At 40.5% G+C, this 27381-nt stretch overlaps 1 protein-coding gene across 9 annotated transcripts in view; it reads right to left on the reverse strand.

Moving 5' to 3' along the window:
- Positions 1–27381, reverse strand: part of DNAH5 (dynein axonemal heavy chain 5) — a 321491-nt gene that overhangs the window by 6958 nt on the left and 287152 nt on the right. For 7 of the 9 annotated variants that reach the window (XM_005248262.4, XM_047416886.1, NM_001369.3 and 4 more), the window contains 8 exons: positions 23715–23960; positions 21597–21816; positions 20030–20235; positions 19202–19405; positions 17120–17335; positions 10838–11050; positions 3999–4151; positions 3355–3586 (listed from right to left, as the gene is read on the reverse strand). In XM_005248262.4, coding sequence (XP_005248319.2) covers positions 3355–3586; positions 3999–4151; positions 10838–11050; positions 17120–17335; positions 19202–19405; positions 20030–20235; positions 21597–21816; positions 23715–23960 — 1690 coding nt within the window. The other 2 variants (XM_017009177.2, XM_017009180.2) reach the window with 2 other exon arrangements.

Genomic DNA, 27381 nt, shown 5'->3' on the forward strand with positions numbered 1-27381 from the left:
CATAGGCAGTATGCTTGCCTAAGCCCAGGTAGACACATTTATCATTTTAGATTCAACTAATAAATATTGAACTACACCATGTGCCAAGCAGTGTGCTGAGAACCTTCGTGTTCCTAATCTGATGCTCAACTCTCCCCTTCACAGGCTCTTCTTCCTTCATGTTTTAAACACTGGTCCCCTCCCAAGGTAATCCTTATTCCCTTCAACAAATCACAGCCTCTCTAGCTTGTTGTCCTCAAAGCAGAATCATTTCTCTAGCAAACTTTTGTAAAGACTAAATGAGACATGGTGTGAAATCCACCTTTAAACATTCTCCATAAATATCATTTCTCTCTTCCAACTCCCCCATTTCCACGTCTACCTGAAGAACCTCCTTCATGTGGAAACTTTGTTATCCACCTACACACTGCTAACATCCAGCTAACCTGGACTGGGTCTGTCTTCTAAATCCCAGAACTAAACTCTTCATCAAACCCAGCACATCCATTACCACCTCATGACTTTCCACTCTTGCCTCTGTTCCAGGATATTAGCATAGCCTCTTTCTATCACTTGGATCTCAGCTCAATATTTCTCACAGAACTCCTAAATTATCTTACACTCAAACCATGTGTATGGCTTGAATTTGTCCCCTAAAATTTCATGTGTTGAAAACTTAATCACTGGTGCAACCATATTTGGAGGTAGAGTCTGATAAAAGGTGATTGGGTCAAAAGGGTGAATCCCTTATGAATGAATTAATGTCATCATCATGCCAGTGAGATAGTTATTGCAAGAGTGGGTTGCTATAAACCAAGTCCAGCTCCTGGTGCCCCTCTCTGTCTCACATGCTTACTTCTACCTTCTGTCTGTGACCATGGAATGACCCTCACCAGATGGTGGCATCATGCCCTTGGACTTCCCAGCCTCCAGAACCAGGAGCAAAATAAACTTCTATTGTCTATCACATGCCCAGTCTGTAGTATTTTGTTATAGCAACAGAAAATGGACTAAGACACCATGCATGTGTTTTTTGCAGAGAAACAAGAAGTATCTGAAATCAGTATGTTCATTTCTAGTCAACTCTCATTATACACAGTAGTTATGTCCTATAAAGTCACCATGAATATTGAATTAACAAACGCCAAGCCATTTCTCCTAGGGGAAATACAGGGTTAGTTTCCTGCAAGCCTCCGGTCACAACATTTCCATCAAGCAGTCAATACATAATCTTGCTTTATGTGTGTTTCTGTTTAAGGATATCTTTTTAATATATATGGTTGATTACCATTGCACTGAAGGCCCACAGCACTATAACTAATGCCTGAAGTCAGTTTGTCCAACACATGTGTTTTCTCCATAAGGCACAGCCTTCTTGTGCTCAGAAACAGCAGACTTAAACACTACACTTGGGGGCCATTTTAAATAGGAAAAAGTACCCCCCAAAAATTGAAAAACATAGTACTAAAGAGACAACAAACAGGACACTTAGTTGTAATATGAAAGCTGGAACAAGAAGGCACAGCCTCACCTTGTTTGGCCCCAGCTAGAAATATGTACGTCTGGCAACTCCAATTGTTTGCTGCTTTGCACATATTTGTGAATGACCATAAAAGTGGCATTAGTATTGATTTGGGGGCTACAGAGAAATTTTAGCAGGTAGGCAAATTCACAAATACAAATCTGTGAGTAACAAGGCCCAACTATATTTGTTTCTTTTATGGCTATCACCCCTGTTTGCGACTCAGCTCCACGAGAATGGGAAGCCTGTTTGGTCTTTTCTCAGTGCTGCAACCCCAGCACTAGGGCAGTGTTTGGCAGATGGTCAGTAAGTAGTTACTGAATGACCAAGCAAGCTAATGCTATTTCCCTCTGCCACGAAAAGTCTAACTCCCCATAACTCTCATTCTTGTCCTCCAAAGCACATCTCAAAAGCAATCACCCCTAAACTCCTAGACACCTTTATGTTTTCTTTCTGAGCACCTCTTTTGTAACATGTATCAATTTGTATTTTCATTATTTACTTACTACGGGTCTCCTTCACTAGACTGTGAGTCTCTGGGAGCTGGATCTGGTTCATAATGATCTTTGCATCCCTAGCACCTAAGGTTATGGCTGGTAACTATTAGACATCCAGCAAATGTTTGCTTAAAAAATAAATACTTGGGGCCGGGCATGGTGGCTCACGCCTATAATCCTAGCACTTTGGGAGGCCAAGGCGGGGGCAGATCATGAGGTCAGGAGTTCGAGACCAGCCTAATCAACATGGTGAAGCCCTGTCTCTAGTAAAAATACAAAAATTAGCTGGATGTGGTGGTGCACGCCTGTAATCCCAGCTACTCAGGAGGCTGAGGCAGGAGAATCGCTTGAACTCAGGAGTTGGAGGTTGCAGTGAGCTGAGATTGTGCCACTGCACTCCAGCCTGGGTGACAGAACAAGACTCTGTCTCATATAAATAAATAAATAAATACTTGTAGTTCATAAATTATTTTATCCCTTTACTTGTTAGAATCTTTTGTGCTTCTATCATAAAATCAGTACTTCCTTGGGATCCACTATCATGGCTAGAGTTTATGGTTTATGCTTCTAAGACGAACAGGGAATTCCCTCGTGTGCTGAAATGTGGTTATTGCTGTAGAGATGTTAGCTGAGTGAAAGGTGACAAAAAAAGCCTCCAGAAAACATCAATCCAATAACGGAAAATAGTTTAGGCATTTTTAGACTTGTCAAGTACAGCTTTGATAATTTTGTTTAATTAGAATCACGTGTGTACTTCACAGAAGTGTTATTACATTCAAAGACTGAAGTAAGAACCCAGTATTTTACCATTAGCTACAGGATTAAACCAAATGCCTCTGAATTCAATCTAGAATTCACTGCCTGGTTCAAACCTCCAAGCTGGTAGAACCACAGCCTTCAACTGAGCCCTGTGCAGTCTTATCTAGAAAGTCTCCTTACCACAGCCTACCCCACCACATTGTATATATTCTTCAAAGCTCAGTCCAGGCCCAAATGCTCCTGAGACTCAGGCCCTGCTCACTTCATCCCGCTGTTATCTCACTCTCCTTTCCCATGCCTATTAATTATGCCAAACATTTCTTTCTTATCTCATCAGCTAATATTTCATGAGTATCCACACATGTTAATCTGCTTTATTAGATAAGCAAGTACTATCTAGAACTATTGCCTCCTCAATATACTCAAGAAAGTGCCTAGAAGTCAGTAAGTCCCCATTAAACATGGGTGTGAATGTAAAGCTAATAGATAAGAGAGCAAAATCTCTACTACATGATAACAAAAATAATGAAATCCTGTGTTGATAATGTCATCCAAACGAACAATGCGAGCCCTTACTGAAGGTACAAGACAACTTACTATTGTTTTCTGCATAAATCCTTATGACAGGCATCAACTCAAAGAGCACTTTTGGCTTTGATTCAATGAGTTTCATGTTCCTCTTGTCCCAGCCAGCACCTTCAAGATATAAGCCATAGACATAGACACCCTCTGTGGGAGGGGCAGAAATGTCGTCCTTCATCCATTTGGTGACTTCATTGCAAAGCACCATATTGTCCAGAGCCCAGCCTTTGTTGGCCCGAGTTATTTCCTATTCAGGGCAGCAAAAGATGAATGGAGCGGTTAGAGGTTTGTCTTAATAGAAAGAGCATAACAATAATGAAAGCTTGGCTCCGAATCACTCTAACTCGAAGGACGTACAATAGTATTTAAAGAATTAGCAAGATTCCCTCATTAAAAAAACCACATCCTAATTGAGCTAGGTCTACTTTAAAAAAAAATAGAAAATCAAATCAAATACAAAAATAAGAAATAAATATTTTGAAAGTCGAGCTAGCAGCCTGAGAACAACTGGCTGGGATTTATGTACATGACAATGTAACTGCTAGTACCAAAAAGAGACAGTCATTCTCTGTCTTATTATAGTCTTTAAAACTATAATGATGGAAAATCCTGTGGAGGAAAATTATAATAACGCAACGGGTGCAAATCAGAGCTCTTACCTGTCGCATTGCAGTTAAAAATCCCTGGGGGTTAAAAAAACCCGTCATCCAAAAGCAGTGAGGTCGGCCATTGAAAACCCACGAGGTAAACTGGCTGTTTCTTTCTATAAGTTCAGTAAACCAGAAACCCAGTGTACTAGAAATCCAAGAAGCCTGCAATGAAGACATTAAAACAATTAATTGATGTAAGTTTAATACTGCAGTGTAAACCAGCTATGTTCACTGAAAAAAAAAAAAGATGAAATATCAATTTCACTTTTATAATGAAAAAAGTCCCTAAGTCATGAATTTTCCCTGGATTCTGGCGTAAGTGTTTCAAATTATTCTTTCTCCTTAATAATAGTAATGCTACTAAGATATGATAGAATATACTAGTCATCACATGAACATCTGATAAATTCACAGAGCTGTTCAAGATATCTAACGTCAATTGAATCACTTTCCATGTACCAATATATTCATCACTGACTCTGCTGTAAAGGAATCAAAACAATTTATTGGATTAAATTTAAAGGCTTTCCTCATTTTTCCTTAGGTTACAATTTCAATCTATAACACATAAAAAAGGATTTTTATTCACCTAAATATGCTCATGGCCTTATCAAGATAAATCAACACTTTAAAACAGATCCCATGGATAAGTTGTAGAAGACTTGCTACACTTAATTTTAACGGGGTAAACAACAGTTATTTTCCAGAATGTTTATCCCTTTAGAATACATTTTTATTTCCTCTCTTGAAGGAGCAAAAAATGGAAACCCAAGACTCTTTATCATCCACAAACTATTTGCATTTATTGCTTCTGACTTTCTCCCTGAATTCACCTGTGGAACTTCCATTATGACAACTGGCATGAATATGTCATTAATGTCATCAGCAGCAGCAGTGTAAGGTATCTTCAAATCATAGATTATAACATTTTACTGTAATTGCAATATTTTATGTATGAATAAATGTAGTAATCAACCTGGGTATAACACTTGAATTTCAAATACCTTAAGAATTAATTTGCCTATTTTTCAAGAGTTATTGAGATTCCAAAGTCTGATAATAAGCTGAGAAGAATAAAAACCTGAATAAAATGATCATAATTTAAGAATTAAATCACTCATTGTCTGCTATCTTTATAGGTCTGTTAACTAAAAGAGATGTGTGTTTATACTACGTTCGGTCTGAGGGCAGAGGGAGCCGCTAATGAGAGAGTGCCCCTGACAGGGATTCCTGTTCCAGAGCCTCCTGGGTCCTACCGAGGTGGGTGATCTGGTTTGGTAGGGAAGGAACTCCCAATGGCCACTGATCTGGAAGAATCTCCCTCTGTCCTTGGCAATGAGAGGAGGCAATTCAGATACAAAACTCTCTGGCATGGACAATGGATTTATTAAAGATGAGAAGGAAATAAAGGGGTCTGGTCAAAGCTGATTCTGAGTCTCTCAGCTATGTGATGAGAGGGATGGAGGGTGGTGTCATCAAATAACATGGAGAAGACAAGAAGCAGCAGTCCTACTCACTATATGCTGCCTGCAGAACTCACTGCCTTGTAATCTGCTGAAGCCCGGGATGACATACCTGAGGCTCAGCACCAAACAAGTCCTATCACCTTCCCATTTAGCCAAGTAACCTACAGAGGCCAACCCTCTATCCTCCCACCCACCAACCTCACGTCTGTAGGCTGCCCTCTCTGTGCAGCCCCCAACCTGACGCAATCCCCCTCTGTCCTTGGCAATAAGAAGGGACAAGCCTCCCTCCCAAGCCTTTCCACTCTACCTTCAGCATCTTTAGTGCCATGATCAGAAAACTCTTCTAGATCCTCCACCTCATTCTGGAACATTCTCTCCATCCCTTCTCTTAACTGAAGTCTGCCCCCCACCCCACACCCTCTACCCAGGACAGACTGCTTCCCTCACAGCCTTCTCCAAATGTAGGCTACTGCTTTCCTCATACTCAACAACCCTCAGGGCCAGGAGAAGAGGAGGTGACCTCATGCCAGGCACTGTTCTAAGCACTTCACACACATCAACTCATTTAATCCTCACAATAATGCTAGGAATTATATAATGCTATTATTTCCCTTTTACAGATAAGGAAACTGAGGCACAACAAGGCAACTAGTGTACCCCAAGTTAGCCCATAAGAGACATGATTTGAACCTGGGTATTCTGGCCAAGTAAGTGCATACTCAAAACCCATAGACTACCTTTATTTACTTTCATTAATCATTCTAGGTGAATTCAGCATCCATGTGAATGATGCATTTAACATCTTATTATCTTATCTCATGACCCTCTGCTCTCTAATGACCCTGATGTCCATTCCATTTCATTCCTCTGCTCCCATGCTCTCATGTTAAATTTTGTCATCCTCAAACAGTAGCCTGTTGGGAGGTGCCTTTTTTCCACTCCTATATTTCCTTCTATGGGGAGAGAGCTCCTTTCATATAACATTCCAAGATCCTTGACCCTCTCATTCTCCCCACTCCCAGGAGATAAAGAAATTCATCTGGTTTCTGGCTGTTTCAGAGACACATTCTGCTCATCAGATGTCCCATGTGCCCCCTATACTTCTCAGCCTCACATGCAGTTAGGTTGGGTCCAAGGCTCTAGTTCTGATCTACAGACTGTGAATGAAAGTGGCATGGGTCACTTCCTAATCCAGAAAGTCTAGACCTGGGGTGCCTTGTCCATCTCCCTTCCCTCTGCTGTGATGACTTCAGAGGCCACATGCTCCAGGTGGTACAGCTCCCAGATGACAAGGCCTCCACAATGAGGGTCCCAGAGTAACTGTCTGGACCCAAGGATGCACCCAGCTGGTGAGGGGCATAAGGAAGTAGGGTGCAGCTATAACAGCAGCTCCTGAAGTATGATCAGTGACTTGGCACTAGGGCAGCAGCAGGTTGGAGAAGCCACAGCAGCGGTGGAAAGACAGAGATACAGTTAGGAAGCCCAGCCAGCCAGCCCCTTCTGCTTTTATTACTGGGGGTAGCAGGGGGAAAGGGACCACACACTCTCTTCTGCTCCCACACTCTCTTCTGCTCCCACACTCTCTTGTGCTCCTGCACACTCTCGCTTCACAGGGAAGTCTCTGTAGAGGAAGCTGTCTAGTGTAGTGCTGCTGGTGGGTAAGTCTGTCTGATACCAAATACCGTTTTAAAACCCCAAAACTCACCTTCCAGCAGATGGAAGCCACTTTGTTCAATATCAGCTTTATCAGTAAATGTTCTCTAATCTGCACCACTCCTTTTCTGCCATTTAATTGCTTTGGAATTCAGGCGGAGAAAAGAGCTAGTTATTTAGCCGCCTTAAGAAATCCAACATGCACCACCCCCATTCCACATTCCATTCTTCAACCACAACCTCCACTTCTAGTTCACTTGTTCAAGGACAGTCCTTTGACCTAAGCATAGTATCCGGTTCTTTGGTTCCATGATTTTCACCTCATCCATAAATTTTGTCCCATCTCCATTATGCTAGGTGAAATAAGCCAGGCACAGAAAGGCAAACACTACATCATCTTACCTATATGTGGAGCCTGAAAGAGTTGAACTCATAGAAATAGAGAGTAGAATGGTGGTTACCAGAGACTAGAGGGTGGAGTGAGGAGGGAGGGAATAGGAAGTTGTTGATCAAAGGGTATAAAATTTCAGTTAGATAGGAGAAGTATGTTCAAAAGATCTATTTTACAACAAGGTGACTATAGTTTATACCAATAGACAATTTTTTTTTTTTTTCTGAGAGGGAGTCTCGCTCTGTCACCCAGGCTGGAGGGCAGTGGTGCGACCTTGGCTCACTGCAGGTTCCGCCTCCCAGGTTCACGCCATTCTCCTGCCACAGCCTCCCGAGTAGCTGGGACTACAGATGCATGCTGCCACACCCAGCTAATTTTTTGTAGTTTTTTTAGTAGAGACGGGGTTTCACCGTGCTAGCCAGGATGGTCTTGATCTCCTGACCTTGTGATCCGCCTGCCTTGGCCTCCCAAAGTGCTGGATTACAGGCATGAGCCACTGCGCCCGGCTGCAATGGACTGTATTCTTGAAAATTGCTGAGAGTGGCTTTTAGGCCTGAACCACAAGAAAATGTTAATTAAGTATGTGAGGTAATGCCTATGTTAATTAGCCCAGCTTAGCCATTCTACAGCATACATATCTTTCAAAACAACATGTAGCACACCATAAATATATATAATTTTTGTCAAGTAAAATAAATTTTAAAATAAGTCTTTAACAGTTTTTGTCCCATCTCCTCTCCTCTCGTCTTCACCTTCCATCATTATAATCTCCCTGTTGAGAATGGCTTCCATGACCTAGCTACCTCTCCCACTATGGGTTGAATTGTGTCCCCTCAAAACCATACATTGAAGTCCTAACCCCCAGCACCTAACAACGTGATCTTATGCGGGAACAGGGTCTTTACAGAGGAAATCAAGTGAAAATGAAGGCATAAGCGTGACCCTAATCCAGTATGTTGCTGTCCTTATAAAAGGGAAATTTGGACACAGAGACAGATGTGCATAGAGGGAAGATGATGTGAATGTACACAAGGCAAAGAAAATCATATCTTCACAAGACAAAGGGAGAGACTGGACTAGGACTGCCACAAGCCAAGGAGCTCCTGGGGCCACCAGAAAGTAGAATGAAGCAAAGAAGGATGCTCTTCTAGACACTCTGAAGGGAGCACGGCTGGCCAACAGTTCTATTTTGGACTTGCCACCTCCAGAATTGCAAGAAAACAAACTTCTGTTGCTTAAGCCACCCAGTCGGTGGTACTTTGTTATGGCAGTCAAAAAATCCTACCACACCTGCCACTGCACTCTCCAGGTGGGTGTCCAACACGGAAGCTCCTCAAGTGTCTACCTTCCCAGGCCTACTCCTGGCAATTGAAGCCAGTTGGAGGCGATGCACACCAGTGAAAGCCGGTTTCATTCACATGCATAACTTGAGATCTCAAAGGGGTGAATCCTGTTGCCTTTCCATGCCTGCATTTCTGTCTTGATTTCCCCCTCCTTCCAACCTTTAGGTGTAGCAGGGCAAGTGAATGAGGAAGTGGAGCAGAAGTGAAAATCTAGGGAGCAGGACATTGGGAGTGATCTGTCAGGTCAGCCCTGCTTGGGTTCATGCTGTGGGTGTGGAGTCCCCCAGACAATGGCAGGAGTCAGATGGAAAGGAAGCCATGGGGCAGATCCAGATTTTCCCAAGAAATAGGTTATAGAAGACAGCTACACCTCCCACTCTTTTCCTACGTATTTTTTCACCATAATTAATCTTAGCAAGTTCACTTACATCTCCCCATAACATGGGTGTGCATGCACATCACACACAGACACATGCACACACAAATACAGAACAAAGAGAAGAATACCATTTAGGCTCCATCCCTTCAAATGTCCTCTACTAAAATACACTTATTTTCCTACTTACAAAGACACTCAGGAACTCACTTTACTTTTCCAAGTGAAAAATTATTCCTTAAAACCGTATCTGTCTTTAGCACAATTACTAACAAGTAACCAGTGAGCATGCTGTTAAATTCTTATCCTTTTATTTTGATATATACATACTACATACTGTATTTACAGATATAGTGATACCAGAGCAGGGCAGGGAAGTGCTGGGTAGAGAAGGGCAGGGTCCCTGGCGAAGGCTCCACCCTCAGGCTTATGCCCAAAGACCTACCTAAGTGAGAACAGGCACTCTTGTTTTCGTGCCCAAATGTTGCATTTTCCAAGACCACTCTGGCCCACCATGCCCCGCATCCTGTGCCCATATAAACCCAAGGGACCATAGCGGGCACACACACAAGTGGCTGGATGTTGAGAGGAGTAGAAGCGCAGAAGGGCACACTGACAGACACCAGCATATACTGGCAGGACCAACAGACACCGCTGACAGCGGGACGACGTGGAATTTGCTCAGGCATGGTCAGAGAAGAGTCCGGTCACTGGGCGGCCCAACTCCAGGGGAAGACCACCTTCCCACTCCATCCCCCTTCTGGCTCCCCATCCACCTTGCTGAGAGCAACTTCCACCACTCAATAAAACCTTGCACCCGACCTCTAAGCCCACATGTGAGGCAATTTTTCCAGTACACTAGAGCAAGAACCCAGGAAACAGAAAGCCCTCTGTCCTTGCGATAAAGAGGGTCTAATTGAGCTGATTAACGCGAGCCATCTGCAGATGGCAAAACTGAAAGAGTACACTGTAACACATGCCCATTCGGGAGCTGTAAACACTAACCCTAGACACTGCCATGGGGTTGGAGCCCCAGAACAGTCCCTACAACCTGCCCCTCTGCATGCTCCCCCTAGGGATTTCAGCAGCAGGGCACAGAAAACCCAGCCACACCCCTGTCACACGCCCTGTGAGGGGGATAAGGGAACTCCTCCGATTTCGACAGCATGTAGCAGAAACTTTATTTTTTTTTTCCTTTTGGTGTGACTTTTGATGTTAGGGTGAGGCATGTTTCCTTCTATGAAACCAACATCATGGACTTTGGAGTCCAGGAGCTTGGGTTTAAATTCTGATTCTTGGACTACTTAGATGTGTAATCTGAGAAAAGACTTAACCTGTCCCAAACTTAAGTTTCTCATCTGTAAAATAAGAGCAGTAAAATACAAAATTTAAGTAAAATAACGCATGTAAATGCCCTAGCAGAGAACCTGATTCGTGGGATTTGCTAAAAAAAAACTTCCTTCCCTACCTATGGTCTAAAAATACAGGGCTACAGGGGGCTTCGTCCCTGTGCAAAAGAATCATGTTGAGTAAATTATCCTTTCATGCTTTCCACTTGCCAATTACAACTCTTCACAATCATAAGTGAACAGGCAGAATAACAGCAGGCTTATACGTACTTTTTTCCACCAAGCAGGGATTCTAGCATCAAACATGCAATCCAATGCATCTCGCAGATTTTCGCTCATGATGATGGTGCCATCAATAGCAAGTTTCAGCTCAGTGAGGGTGCTGCGGACAAGGCTGAGTACCCTTTGCATTCTGTCTATTTCCTGCCTGAGGAAAATGTTCATAGGCTGGAATGGCCCCATCTTCTGCAGCCTCTCTTTTACCTGCCATGGAGACATTCAAAGCACATGTTAACAATTAGCTACTAAGGATTTTATAGACCTGGTGCCCTGGGGCCTCTGAACAGGCCCAAATTCTTACTATTCCATAAATAATAAGCTTCTAATTTATTGCATGGCAAAAAGAAAAAAAAAAAGAAAAGAAAACAGAAAAAAGTATCTGTTAGATGACCAGCCCGAATTTTCATGCCATGTGGGAAGGAACAGGCAGCCATGAATTCACAGAAGAATGTAAAATGCATGACCACAACCATGCAGTCTTCCAAACAGCAAATGCACTTATTGGGAAACTCCCTTTCTGAGAATCCGAGCTCTTTCAAACCCACATGTGGACACACACAAGCAAACATGTACACACACACACAACCATTCTGCTGGCTATTTCAAAAAACTAGAATTCTCTTTTAAGAGCTTTCTGTTTTTTCCATCAAAGCATCCATCCATCCCCCCAACCATTCATTATCATCCTACAAGTATTTATTGAGAGTCTTCTATGTATCAGATATTGTGTTAGGCTGAGTTGCTATAACCTAAGGTAGCACTGACAAATTCAGCAAAAGGCTGGAGACTCTTCTAACTCCTGCTACTTACCATGTTTATTTATGTAGTTATCATTCTATTTTTAGACATTTTTATCACTTCCTAACTATTTCAACCCCTGTTAGACACGAATGACGCCTTTCCTGATCCTATAATGAAGAGTGCTTATGAAAGCTGATAACAGTATTGATTTTTCTCCAAGCAAGTGATCAGAGGTTATTCCAGGGACATTATCCCCTTGACTAAAGGTCCTTAAGTTCAGTCTGTAGTATTAGCAGCCAAAATTGCCTGCTTAGTAGAAAACAGTGGGGTACAAAAGACACAAAATGCTACAGGATTCCTCTTGAAAATGAGATACAAAAGGGAAAAATACAAAGAAATAGGGTGGCTCATGTTAGAAGCACCAAATGATTGTCCAGGTCATCTCTTAAAACTATATGGAAAATCAGCTACCTCTTAGTCTTGGTTTAATCAAAGATTTTTATTTTTTTATTTTTTATTTTGTAATTTAAAAAAAAAAATTTGTGAGTGCATATGTAATTGAATTGTTTGTAACTCAAAGGATAATTGAAGATTTAAAAAAATACTATCAGGGTAACTCTTTCCACAATACTCATTAAGATGTTAAAAAAGAAAACACCTGGGGGACAGAGGCAAGACTAGATTGCAGCTTTGACTCGGATGGGCAGAGCAGTGTTCAGAGGCTTGCATTGTGAACATTAGCTCCGGATCTACTCCAAGAACAAAGCAGCAATCCCTAGAGGACCCACAGACTCTGTGAAGGAGGCGGTCTGCTCCTGCAGGACTCAGGAGACACCCCAAATACTGTGAGTGCCCCAACTGCAGAAGTGGGAAAGGGAGAGCCTCCTCTCCTGAACACACACCCCCACTGAAGAAACTGAAGTAGCCACAGCAAGACAAGCCTAAGGAGAGGCTGAGATCAGACACACCTAGCCTTGCCCCTACTTGGTGGTCCTTCCCTACCCACCCTGGTAGTGGAAGACAAACGGCATATAATCTTGGGAGTTCTAGGGCCCTGCCTATTGCCGGTTTCTCTTCATACTACCACAGCTGATGCTCTCTGGAAAGCACCACCTCCTGACAGGAGGTCAACCAGCACAAAAACAGAGCATTAAACCACCAAAGCTAAGAACCCTCACGGAGTCCATTGCACCCCACCGCCAACTCCGCCAGAACAAATGCTGCTATCTGCAGCTGCGAGACCCACAGACAAGGTTCACATCACAAGACTGTGCAGAAAACCCCCAGTACCAGCCCAGAGCCAGGTAGACTTGCTGGGTGGCTAGACCCAGAAGAGAGACAACAATCACTGCAGCTCGGCTCACAGGAAGCCACATCCATAGGAAAAGGGGGAGACTACTACATCAAGGGAACACCCTGTGGGACAAAAGAATCTGAACAACAGCCTTCAGCCTAAGACCTTCTCTCTGACAGAGCCTACTCAAATGAGAAGGAACCAGAAAACCAACTCTGGTAATATGACAAAAATTGACATTCTAATGTCACACCTCAAGGAACTAGAGAAACAAGAAGAAACCAAACTCAAACCCAGCAGAAGAAAGGAAATAACCAAGATCAGAGCAGAACTAAATGAAATTGAAACAAAACAAAGCAATACAAAAGGTAAATGAAACAAAAAGCTGGTTCTTTGAAAAGAAACAAAAAGCTGGTTCTTTGAAAAGATAAATAAAATAGATAGACCATTAGCAAGATTCACCAAGAAAAGAAGAGAGAAAATCCAAATAACCTCACTGAGAAACAAAACAGGCGATATTACAACTGACACCACTGAAATACAAAAGGTCATTCAAGGCTATTATGAACACCTTTACACACATAAACCAGAACACCTAGAAGAGATAGGTAAATTCCTGGAAAAATACAGCCCTCCTAGCTTTTATCAGGAAGAATTAGATAACCCTGAAGAGACCAATAACAGGCAGTGAGATTGAAATGGTAATTTAAAAATTACCAACATAAAAAAATCTAAGACCAGAAGGATTCACAGCAGAATTCTGCTAGACATTCAAAGAAGAATTGGTACCAATCCTTTTGACACTATTCTACAAGATAGAGAAAGAAGAAACCCTCCTTAATTCATTCTATGAAGCCAGCATCACCCTAATACCAAAATCAGGAAAGGACATACCCAAAAATGAAAACTACAGACTGATATCCTCGATGGACATAGATGCTAAAATCCTTAACAAAATACTAGCTAACTGAATCCAACAACATATCAAAAAGATAACCCAGCATGATCAAGTGGCTTTCATACCAGGGATGCAGGGATGGTTTAACATACGCAAGTCAATAAATGTGATACACCACATAAACAGAATTAAAAACAAAAATCACATGATCATCCCAATAGATGCAGAAAAAGCATTCAACAAAATCCAGCATCGCTCTATGATTAAAAGTCTCAACAAAATCGGCATACAAGGGATATACCTCAATGTAATAAAAGCCATCTATGACAAACCCACAACCAACATAATATTGAATGGGGAAAACTTGAAAGCATTCCCTCTGAGAACCAGAACAAGACAAGGATGCCCACTCTCATCACTCCTCTTCAATACAGCACTGGAAGTCCTGGCCAGAGCAATCAGTCAAGAGAAATAAATAAAGAGCATCCAAATCAGTAAAGAGGAAGTCAAACTGTCACTGCTTGCTGACGATATGATCGCTTGCCTTGAAAACCCTAAAGACTCCTCCAGAAAGCTCTTGGAACTGATACAAGAAATCAGCAAAGTTTCTAGATACAAGATTAATGTACACAAATCACAAATCAGTAGCTCTTCTATACCAACAGTGACCAAGTGGAGAATCAAATCAAGAACGCAACCCCTTTTACAATAGCTGCAAAAAAATAAAATACTTAGGAATATATGTAACCAAGAAGTCAAAAGACCTCTACAAGGAAAACTACAAAACAATGCTGAAAGAAATCACAGACAACACAAACAAATGGAAATACATTTCATGGTCATGGATGGGTAGAATCAAAATGACCACACTGCCAAAAGCAATCTACAAATTCAATGCAATCCCTATCAAAATACCACCATCATTCTTCAAAGAATGAGAAACAACAATTCTAAACTTCATATGTAACCAAAAAAGAGCCTGCCTAGCCAAAGCAAGACTAACTACAAAGAACAAATCAGGAGGCATCATACAACATGGTACTGGTATAAAAATAGGCACATAGACCAACTGAATAGAACAGAGAACCCAGAAATAAACCCAAATACTTACAGCCAACTGATTTCGACAAAGCAAACAAAAACCTAAAGTGGGGAAAGGACACCCTTTTCAAAAAATGGTGATGGGATAATTGGCTAACCACATGTATAAGAATAAAACTGGACCCTCATCTCTCACCTTATACAAAAATCAACTCAAGATGGATTAAGGACTTAAATCTAAGACCTGAAACTACAAAAATTCTCGACAATAACATTGGAAAAACCCTTCTAGACATCAGCTTAGGCAAGGATTTCATGACCAAGAACTCAAAAGCAAATGCAATAACAACAAAGATATATAGTTGGGACCTAATTAAACTAAAGAGCCTTTGCATGGCAAAAGGAACAGTCAGCAGAGTGAACAAACAACCCACAGAGTGGGAGAAAAATCTTCACAATCTATACATCTGACAAAGAACTAATATCCAGAATCACAACGAACTCAAACAAATCAGTAAGAAAAAAACAAACAATCCCATCCAAAAGTGGGCTAAGCATATGAATAGGCAATTCTCAAAAGAAGATATACAAGTAGCCAACAAGCATATGAAAAAAATGCTCAACATCACTAATGATCAGGGAAATGCAAATCAAAACCACAACGCGACAACAACTTACTCCTGCAAGAATGGCCATAATCGAAAAATCAAAAAACAGTAGATGTTGGCATGGATGCAGTGATCAAGGAACACTTCCACACTGCTGGTGGGAATGTAAACTAGAACAGCCACTATGGAAAACAGTGTGAAGATTCCTTTAAAAAGTAGAACTACCATTTGATCCAGCAATCCCACTACTGGGTATCTACCCAGAAGAAAATAAGTCATTCTACAAAAAAGATACTTGCACATGCATGTTTACAGCAGCACAATTCACAACTGCAAAATCGTGGAACCAACCCATCAATTAACGAATGTATAAAGAAACTGTGGTGTGTGTGTGTATATATATATATATATACACACACACTGACATATATATACCGACATATATATATACCGACATATATATATATATACGGACATATATATGTATATACCGACATATATATATACCGACATATATATGTATATACCAACATATATATATACCGACATATATATACCGACATATATATACCAACATATATATACCGACATATATATATACCGACATATATATACCGACATATATATATACCGACATATATATACTGACATATATATATACCGACATATATATATACACTGACATATATATATACACCGACATATATATATATACATCGACATATATATATATATATATATATATATATATATACACACACCGATATATATATATATATGATGGAATACTACTCAGCCATAAAAAGGAATGAATTAACAGCATTTGGAGCGATCTGGATGAGATTGAAGACTATTATCCTAAGTGAAGTAACTCAGGAATGGAAAGCCAATCATATGTTCTCACTGATATGTGGGAGCTAAGCTATGAGGACGCAAAGGCATAAGAATGATACAATGGACTTTGGGGACTTGGGGGGAAGAGTGTGAGGGGGGCGAGGAATAAAAGATTACAAATATGGTGCATCGCATACTGCTTAGGTGATGGGTTCACCAATATCTCACAAATCACCACTAAAGAACTTACTCATGTAACCAAATACCACCTGTACCCCAATAACTCATGAAAAAAAACTTTTGAAAATTAATTCAATTTAAAAAGATGTCAAAAAATTAACTTTCATCATCATAAATTTGCTTAGAAACTACTTACATACTAAAAATATCAATTTTCAAAACTAATGAGATGAAGAAGCTGCAGAGGTAATGATATAAATGTAGACTCTCTGAAATAAAGAAGGTCTGAATTTTAAGGTGTGCATTAAACTACATAAAATGTATTTTTGAATAATCAGGTGTTTTAATAATACTTCGCTTTATTTTGAACAAATGGCAATGTAAAGTACCTCAGGGAAGGTTCAGAAAAGCAGTCCTAATCCATCAGTACACACCTGTAAATCAATCATAAGTATTAACATTCTCAACAGGTTTCCTTATGGTTTATATATTGAAAAGATTATGTTACATTCATGGAGGCAAAAACTTCTTTTTCTGGTTCTTTAAGAAGCTGGTTTTTAAAAGAATGTTTTTTAATTTCAGGAAAATCATTTTTTGCCCTCCTTTCTTCTTCCTCACTCTCCCAACCGAAGATATGCAACCCCAGCTGACATTTTGTCAGGATTTCATCAACTCACTTCAAAGGGGACATAGTCTGGGGGCAGCTTCTCCAGCATATCATCAGCCAGCCGGGCCACCACCGCCTCCCGGGTCTCATCCCCTCCACCAGAGGTGTCCTTGGGTTGGATGCCTAGGATGGTGTCCAGCACGTCCTTGGCCAGCTTGCTCTGGTAGGTGATGTCAGCATTGGGGTGCAGCCCAAACACCTCAGGGCTGTCATAGGCAGGCAAACTCTGAACAACAGACACCCCAGATAAGCACAGACTGCCAACATAAGCACCGTCTAAATTACACTATTTTAGGAAACAAAAATGCTTCTATGAGGGTATGCATTTACTTAAGTCTTATTGGTGTCAAGCTACAAACTCAATAATTTCTCCAGAAAAGAATCAAATTTCCTTTAAAAAAACAATTAACATTGAGAAACAGACAGTAGGCTCATGGCTCTTTACAGTCTGCACCTCAAACAAAATTTAATCAAGAGAGACTGTCTTGTTATAAAATATGTGAGATAGAAAGGGAGCTGTGGATTGGTGTTTTGCTTTATGACAGTCTAATAGACTTCAAACCAGTTGTCCAAATCAATGTTGTATAACTAATGGTTATTATGTTTAGAAGATACCAGGAAATGACAGCTTTAGTAATCGTGGTCCAAATAAAGGCAGCACGTGGGAGTCATACCCACCCAGGGAAAAATACAGAGACTAGGAAAAGAGAGAAACTGAGAAAGCAACAGAGTCAGAGAGAAAAACAGAGACAGAGATGGTGTGGGACACAGGCAGAAGCAGGAGAAGCAGGCAAAAAGATCCCCCAACGGTTTGAAAAAAAAGAAAATTTACGGACAATTTGACACATATTTCTATGTATGAATCTTATCCTTAACTTAATTATTTGAGTCATACTCGTATTTCCCTCCCTTCTTCTCCCTCATTTTATTCCCTCTTGCATAATATCTTCTTATGAGCTACCTCAAATAAACTGTGAGATGGGGTATATATAAAAATATATGTACAGGCACCCCCAAATTTATACCTTCATGGCCACTTTTCTTATTCAGTGCTGATGATTTAAAGATACATGCAGTACAGTAAAACAAATATATTTGCTGATTTGAATTAATAAAAGTGCAGAGGCGGTAATATATGATAAACTCATTACATTTGTATATCAAAGCAACATGTAAATATACTGATAAATTTAGCCCTCTGGGGCTGTTATGTTTTAGTTTGTTTACTCTGAGATAAATCTTCGATAGAGACCAAAGAGACTGCTAAATAATGATATAATGAATTTTAGGTATAGAGAAAGGAGACGCAGTCACCTTGAAAATCAGAATTTTTTCCCCACCTATTCCCAAACTGCCTGTAGAAATCTACCTATTCCTTCTTATGTCAGTGCTTCTCAACAAGCGACAATTTTGCCCCCCAGAGGACATTTGGCAATTTCAGGAGACATTTTTGGTTCTTACAATTGGGTATGGGGTTGTTATTGGCATCCCGTGGATAGAGGCCTGGGATGCTGCTCAACAGCACAGGCCAGCCCCCTACAACACAGAGTGATCCAACCCTGAATGTCAATAGTGCCAAGGTTGAGAAACCCTGTCCTAGAGGAGGTTCTTACACAAAGCAGCTTCCTGGACATATCCATAGGCTGTCCATTAGGCCAGGGTTAAGGAACAGATGTCATGGGATTTGTCAAATGGATTGGAAAACAGAACAAATTGGGTCTAGAAGCTGCCTTTGCTCTACTGCTGTGGCAGCCGAAGTTTCACAGACAGAGAACTCCAGGTGATTTGTGTAGGTCTCCTAGTTCTAAATCTGCCTAATCTATCATCTTCCTCAAAGAAAATTCCTCCCTGGGGCATTAAAAAAGAGGGGGGATGGAAACACGATTCACACAAAACACACACTCAGAACAAATATAAACATTTTAATCATCCATTGAGTATAAAAATATGAAGAAAGCCTTCACAGCAAAAGCATTAGTATATATCACCATTAAAATGTATTGTAAAAGCAATATAGACAGTGTAATTAATACCCAAAACTCAAGTGGCTACAGATATTTGCTCTATGCATAAAATTCTGAAGTTGACAAACCTGGATATACTGAAGATAGTTATCCACTGTGCTGCATTTTGGAATATTGTATCCTTGGTAAAAACTGAAATCTGGTCCAAACATATTTTCACTGAACCAAACCTTAGCAAATGTGTTCAACAATCTCTTATCATAGTCGTCAGTGACTCTGCCTCCATATTGAATCTCTCCTATCATGTAGCGGATGGTGGTCCAGGAGACACCCTGGGAAATTTTATAGAATAATTATGTAGAACTGACTACCGTTGCATTATTATTTCCCTGCCAAGTCACACCCATGTATTCACTTTCAACATCATTCAGTCAGTCACTCTTCATCAGTACTGCAAAGAGAAAGTGCAGAAAGAAAAGTAAAAAGGTAAAGAAGAGTAGTTACTCAGTGCTCAGGTCCATGATTTGAAATAGACTTCCTTGATGCATTCGTATGTTTTCATACTTCAATATAAATAGAAAATAGTGTTTGCTTTTTGAGGGTATTGAGGCAGTTCTTTAGAAAGCACACACTTCCAACTGATCTGGACTCCCATTTTCATTTTCCAGGATTTTGAAGAACAAGCTTCCCCACCCACACCCCCTGAGAACAGGCCCCTTGAGGCTGTCTTCTTTGGAATGTCAACTCACTTTTGAGAAATAAAATAATAATCAAAATTTGATCAATTTTTCCTGAAATCAAGAGGCAAGTGTGACCCAAATTGCTATGACTTAAAGATGACTTTGCAAGCACAGCAAATTCTCTTATATAATTTACGCCAAAGCTAGGAGGTCCCGTGAGCTTGATGGCCCAAGCCCACAGCCACTAGAGGCATGAGGCAGCATGCGCGGCAGTACCTTTTTGACATCCATGTCATCCAAGTGGTTTTGGATGAACTGCACAGTGGCATTAAAGTCCGCTTGGTTAAATTCGTAGGGGATATTCCACCCCAGGGCACCGAACTTGCGCCTCTCCTGGACAGTGGAGTGCAGGAAAGCCACTGCGTACAGCATGGGCTTCCACTGGGACCCAGAGCTCACGTCCAGCAGGTCTTGGCTGACACCTGTTGTGGTCAGTTGGGTGAAAAATGTATCATCTCTCAAATGTCTTTATTTTCTACTACTTTTATAAGTAATCATTTTTGTAAATCCCTGATATTAAAATTCACTTACTTTGGATTGTTTTTATGACACTCATGTGACAATAATAATTTAACTTTTGGGTGTCCAGAGGCCATTTCTCTCTGAAAAATCTTCAAAGAGACTTTGGGGAGGGGAGGAGCTTGCTAACATGGGTCAACTTCCTGCCAATCTAACAAGATCATGTGGGGGTAAAATCAAGCTGGAAGGGTAACGACAGTTAAATAAATTCTGCCACTATTACTATAACTACTACTCTATTATTATTACTGTTGTTTTGAGCATATACTTGGGGCATATACTTTTAACTAATTTTATATTAATTAAGATAGTATATATAGAAGCCCTTTGCACCTGAGTACATGCTCCAAATAATAATGATTGATACATATGCATATACTATATTGTATATATAATTAGATTTATTTATTTATTTTTTACTGCCATTATCCTTCCACCTCTCTTTTATCCCCACATTATCTTATAGATTGGCAGGAATTTGGGCCTTGTTAGCAACTCCCCAAAAGTCTCTTTGCAGGTTTTCCAGATTGAAATACAATAATTATATTTATTATGGTTATCAAATACATGATTTTAGTTACAATTTATTTCAATTCTCCTAGAGAGATTCTCTTGTCCCTATTTTATATATGAGAAAATTGAAACTCAGATTGAATGACTCACACCCAAAAGAACAAAGTAATTGTCAACAGCAAGGGCCAGAATCAGGATTTCTGACTGAAAGTTCCATGTTCTTTTCATGACCACAAGCCCCATACATAAAGCTATGAAGCAGAGGAAGCAATGGCCAAGAGAGCGACCTCAGCCCCAGTCATGATGGGGGCATTTGGGCCTGAGTTTGCTGCCACTGGATTTTTAACTTAGCTACCTTCTGACATATGGCCCTAATGAAAGGCAGGCAGGCATGACTTTAATTCAGACTCTCCTCTTGGAAGAGACTACTGTACTACTTTAAGTATGGAGCATAAAGACCATAAATGACAAAATTGTTCATTTTTGATATTAATTATGTCTAGCTGGAGAACAGCATGGGCTTAAATAGGGCAGTACTGGGAAAATAGGAAACTAGAAGGTGGGAATCATGAGCTCTGATTCTTTCACACTGCCGGGACATATTCACAAAAGAGGACCATCACCTCCCCATCAGGTTAAACAGTAGTACTATTTGCTATAACTGTATCCTAGCTAATCCTTTTATAATTTTTTTAGGAAAACAATTTAAGTAAGGAAACTCCTGTAGACTCGCAAGTATTTCTGGACTCACCACTATATGTTCTTTTCAGTCCTGCCCGGAGTCCTTGTGGAGGATCGTTGGCAAATTTAATGGACATCTGAAGGAGTGTAATGGGAAACTGCTTATGAGCCTCGGTGGTCATCCAGAGGCGGAACGCATCATGTACAAGCTCAGTTTCTATGATTATGTCCATCAGCTCATCCATGAAATCAAGTCCCAGATGGCAGTTCTGCAGAAGTGCCCATCCTCCCTGTCAATAGCAGTAAACGGAAATTAGGTAGTTTTGTATTTCACCCAAATTCTAAATTATTACATTCTTTAGAAATTAAGTAATTAAAATTTAATAGGAAAACACTAACCATTTTAAATTAATCCAGGTCAAATCTAAGAAAACAAAAATGTTTAATTGCGATAAGCTATTTTATTTTTAGTCCATGCATTTGTTCCAGTATACACTAGTATGCAATTGTACCAATACTATATGGTCGCAATCATGAATATAATCAAAGTTAAACATAAAAGGACTTCCAAGTAAAGATGGCTGATTGAAAACATCCATTTAACTCAGATCCCTCCCCAAATTCCATTAAAACTACAATGAAGAAAATTTTTAAAGGCATGAACTCTTAAGGACAATGACAGAGAGAGTGAAGGCATTATCATTAACATTTAAAAGAGGTTCAGGAAAGTTGAATCCTAAGCTAGCATTTAGGGAAATCTGAGATGCAACCTGATTTATACCACATAACTCCCCAAATTCTGCCTGCCTTAATGAAAAATGAGAAGTTGATTTTCTACAGAAGGCAAAACAGGGTCTAGATTGGAGGATACCAGCACATTGAGGGAATAGGTACCACACTGAAACCAGGTGAAAGAATGATTGCCTGCTGAATTTTGAGACCTGCTACTTCCTGCCTCCCACTAGTTCTCAGAATCCTGGCAACTGAGCATACACCCTTTAGCATGTGGAAGAACCTTCCCTGGGAATCTGACCACACTAAGAAGAGAAAGAGCCTTAGAAAATAATAAGCCATATATTTTGCCTGAATTATACCATAAGGATAGGAAGGTCTTCGTGTAATGCAACTCAGGCAAAATTGGGGGTCATGTAACAATAATTTCCTCAATATCTAATCTATAAAATATTTTTGCTAAAATCATCTACAAGATCCAGATCATAATCTTGAGGTGTTTTTCTATAACCCATCTTAGATCACTGACTAGAGCTGCATGAGTTGTCTTTCAAAAAGAAAAAACACCAAAAAAAAAAAAAAAACAAGCACTAGATCTAAAGTCTTAGCAGAGTTACACGTAAAACTGATAATTTAGAGATTTCACATTTTCCTTATATTTTCTTCAGAAATTTACAGTACTGCTGAATAAGTTATCTAAACATTACCGTTTGAAAATTTCAACTGACACCGTCCACAATTCAAAACAAAAAGGAAATTCAATATAAAACACAGCAACTACAAAAAGACTTCAGTTCTTCTCTTTTACCCAGCATAGAAGTGAACCCTGACCTGAGTTTCCTTCTTTTGTATTTTGCTTTGTTTTGGTTTTTGAGAAAGTGTCTTGTTCTGTCACCCAGGCTGGACTGCAGTGACTGCAGCCTCTACCTTCCCAGATCAAGTGATCCTCCCACCTCAGACTCCAAAGTAGATGGGCCCACAGGCACAGGCCACCACGTCCAGTTAATTTTTTTTTGTAAAGATGGGGTCTATGTTGCCCAAGCTGGTCTTGAACTCCTGAGCTCAAGCAATCCTTAGCCTCGGCCTCCCAAAGTGCTGAGATTACAGTTGTGAGGCATTGCACCCAGGTGATCTAAACTTCTTAGGTGAGAACTCTGATATTCCATCTTCACCCACAGAATCCCATTTCTTTGGGATTCCATTCTCTGCATTAAATGTTTTGTTTTCATCTAACTGAGTAGACCATCCACTTTGCTATCCTTGGGTAGTTGATTTATTTGCCACATTGCCTCAAAAGTTTCAATGTTAGCTTAAATTTAAAAAAAAAACGCTGTTTAGTAAACAGCAGGCAGCATGTAAATTTAAACTCCTAATGATTTATATTTTTCTTCTGCATTGCTATTCTATAACCTGTAATATGAACAGCATGGCACAAAAGTAGACTATTCAGCCTTACGTTCGCCATGGTCTGCTGCAAGAGCTTCCGAGCATGGACTTCCTGGCCCTGGCCCATGGACACATAACGGGTTTCTATTTTTAATCTCTTCCCCAAGGCAATGATGGAATCTGTGGGGTCTGAGCCCATAGACAGGAGACAGATGAGTGGCGTCCGTGGATCAGATTCCTCCCACGTCTTCTCCAAGTCTAAAATAACACCTTCGGCATATTTTTCTCCCATGGAGTCCACGATGTACTTGCGGGCCTGCCAAAAACAGTATACAAGTCAGTAAAAGTCATTCCAACTCTTTCATGTAGATAATGTAGTGTGGTTTCCAAAATTCATTTTTGTAATTATCTCAGTGATGTCCACAGTAACCCTGTCAGGCAAACAGGGTAGAGACTGTTTTTCATATTTGTTTGTTTATATCTCCATTCTATAGGTGGGAAAACTGTGTTGCTTACCCAGTACAAAATCAGAGTGTCAAAAGAACCAAAGTTGTATGACTCCTGGTTTGAAACCCATTTCAATATACTGCTTGCTTCCTGCTAGACCAGAAAATAAAAATACTGGGAAACTATTGTTTAGGATGCTCTAAGGCAAATATATTTGCATTTAAATAATCAAGTAAGCAACACAATACCTAGAATGTAATGGGTACTGATTAAATAGATAATTATTGAGTGACTATTTTTATGAAATATATTGGATATTTGTTGAATGAATGAATTAGTTTTTAAAGATTTAATCCATAATCTCTCTCCTCATCATTGTCGTCATTCCTTCCCACATTTGGCTCATCCCTTTACTGTTAATTTTGTTTTGAATGAAATCCATACTCGAAATATCACAGATTTTGTCAACTTTATTACAACCATAGAAAAAAATTATGGTAACAACAAAGTCCTTTTTCAAATGAGGTAAAAGAGTTATAATTTATTTTTCAACAAATGGTATTGTGAATATGATCCTTAGTCTATATTCTCCACCTTCTAAATAATTAAATTCCCTCAAAAACATTTTTCCTCCTATTCTGGTGGTCTTCTTCCACCTTAGATGGGTAAAACCCAAGTTTCTCTCCCCAGCAGCATTCTCCACAATAATCATTTTCACATAACTTAGGCGTGGGTGCAACATGACCTGCAACTCTCCCAAGGGCTAGGCAGGTGAGCCTCCCCACTCCAATTCCCGGAGAAACACAAAACAGCTTCAGATGGAGCTTCCCTTGAATCAGACAGATTTCAGATAGACCCGGATCAAAGGGGAGCCAGAGCTGGTTCAGTCATTATCCTTGACTTTAAAACATCAGAGTTTGATTTACAGCCAGTAATCTGGGCTCATCCCTCATCTTCGATATCTTGCTATCCCCTATTCATCCTCAAAATGTACCCCAAGCATCTGAGCTTACAAATTGGTGCGATGTTTCCCACTTGTGTTTGCCCTCTTTTGTGGGTTACAATGAGAGAGAAGTGGCCACCACAGAGGAATCTCCTGGCTTACTACGTCCTCTCATAGCTTGGTAAGAGAGGTACAATGGGTGCCACATGAGTCTAGACTGTTGAACGACTGGCTTGGTCCTACTTTCTGATTCCACCTGGTGTGTGGAGACTTCTCAAACAAGCTTCATCATTCATATAGCCAGGTAAAGAGTGTCTGAAAATTGGTCATCAGGGAACGTCCATCTTCCTCATGAGAGTGCAAAACACAAAAAGAGGAGCATTTACATTCCCTAACTCATACCAGCTAATTCAGAAACAGCTGGACCATTTTACTGTGGATCTCTTCTCCTTCTTCTAAAGTCATAATCCTCCTCATAATGTCCATTCCCCCATACCAATGGCAGATTAAGAGGCATGCCAACTTTGTAGAATACACAGGATTTCTGCCTTGGCAACTATTTCTAGATGGCTTTGGGGAAAGACCTCTACCTGGTTTCCCAAAGGAACAAGAAATGGTGGTCAGGCCCTCTTTGACAGGACTAGGCCACTGGCAATGAAATGACCAAACAGCACCTTGGCCCCTCACTCACAGAGAGGCTCACCCCTTCTGACCTTCCTCTCTATTAGTTCAGTGCCTGGGAAGTTTTGAGGAGGTGAATTTCAGTCCAGTTGAATTTGAGGCACAGGATGCTATTTATTTTCATACCTCTCAATACTTTTTCTAGGTTGGACAGATCCAATATCTAAATCTCTAACTTGCATATAAAAGCCTACATATTTTTCTACAGCCTCTGGCAGGTGTTTAATAAGTTTGCCTGATATGTTCTTTGACTTCCCCAAATGTCTACTCCATGTACACATTCAGTCACAGTCACTGAAGCAGGGAGTCCTGTGATCAGGAAGGACTTCAAAGGCTGGACACTGAGGCATTCCACAGTTGCAGCTGTTTCTCAGCCACATGTTCCGCCATCACTGCATCTCTATAGTGCAACTCATCAAGATTCAAGTACTTTCTACCCCAAGATAGCAAGGGGCTCAACATGGCCAGTTCTGCCATATAACTCAGCATTGACCCAGTTCAGGTATTACCATCCAAGCCATGAGCTAACATGTTAGAATACTATGGGGCCAGATGGTAAATATTTTAGACTTTGGTGGCCAAATCATCTCTATTGCAACTATTCAACTCCGCCATTGTTGCACAAAAGCAGTCATAGGCACACAAATAAAAAGCATGGCTATGTTCCAATAAATTGTTAGAGACACTGAAATGTGAAAGTTATACAATCTTCACTTATCACAAAATATTAGTCTTCTGGTGATTTTTTTCAGGCATTTAAAAATATAATTCTTAAGTCACCAGCTGAGCATAAACAGACAGTTGGCCAAATGTTGTTGGCAGGCCCTAGTTTGCCAACCTCTGGAATAGATAACCACAGGGAAGGCTGCTTCACTTATATCTGGAGAAGGGACCTTTGGTCATAATTCCAGTTCCTGGGCGGGGACATTCTTAAATAGGGTCACAGTCATGGTTCAAATTGGCTCCAAGCCTAAGGGTTGTAATGAGTCTGTGGGGCAAATGTGTAATATGCAAGGATGCTCAGCAATCCCAGGGAAGGCCCCACTGCGGTAGGCATGGATCTGAAACCAGATATGCATGCATTAGAAAGAGTACATTTCTTCATCTTCTTTTCTCCAACTTCAACCCAACACCCTGCATTATCTCACCAGCCAGCAGGACAATAATTCCAGGCATTACTCGGTCTCCCCATCTTCTCAAAGTTTTGGGAGCCCATCCCTTGCACCAGTGTGCCTTGGATGCAGGACACGGGGTCAAAGGAAATTATTTTGGAGATTCAAGATTTAAGGACTGCCCTGCTGTGTTTCAGACTTGCATAGGGCCTACTATTCCTTTCTTTTGGCCAATTTCTCCCTTCTGGAATGGTAATATTTACCCAATGCCTTACTACCATTGTATCTTGGGAGTAAATAATGTGTTTTGATTTTACAGGCTCACAGGTGGGAGGAGATGAGTCTCAGAGAGACTTAGGACTTTGGACTTGATGCTGTAACAAGTTAAGACTTTAGGGGACAGTTAGGAAGAGATGATTGTATTTTGCAATGTAAGAAGGACATGGGATTTGAGGGGCCATGGGAGGAATAATATAGTTTGAATGTTTGCCCCCTTCAAATCTCATGTTGAAATGTAATCCCCAGTGATGAAAGTGGGGCCTGGTGGGAGGTGT

This window comes from Homo sapiens, chromosome 5 (assembly GCF_000001405.40).
Source record: "Homo sapiens chromosome 5, GRCh38.p14 Primary Assembly".
In the NCBI taxonomy this organism is placed as follows: Eukaryota; Metazoa; Chordata; class Mammalia; order Primates; family Hominidae; genus Homo; species Homo sapiens.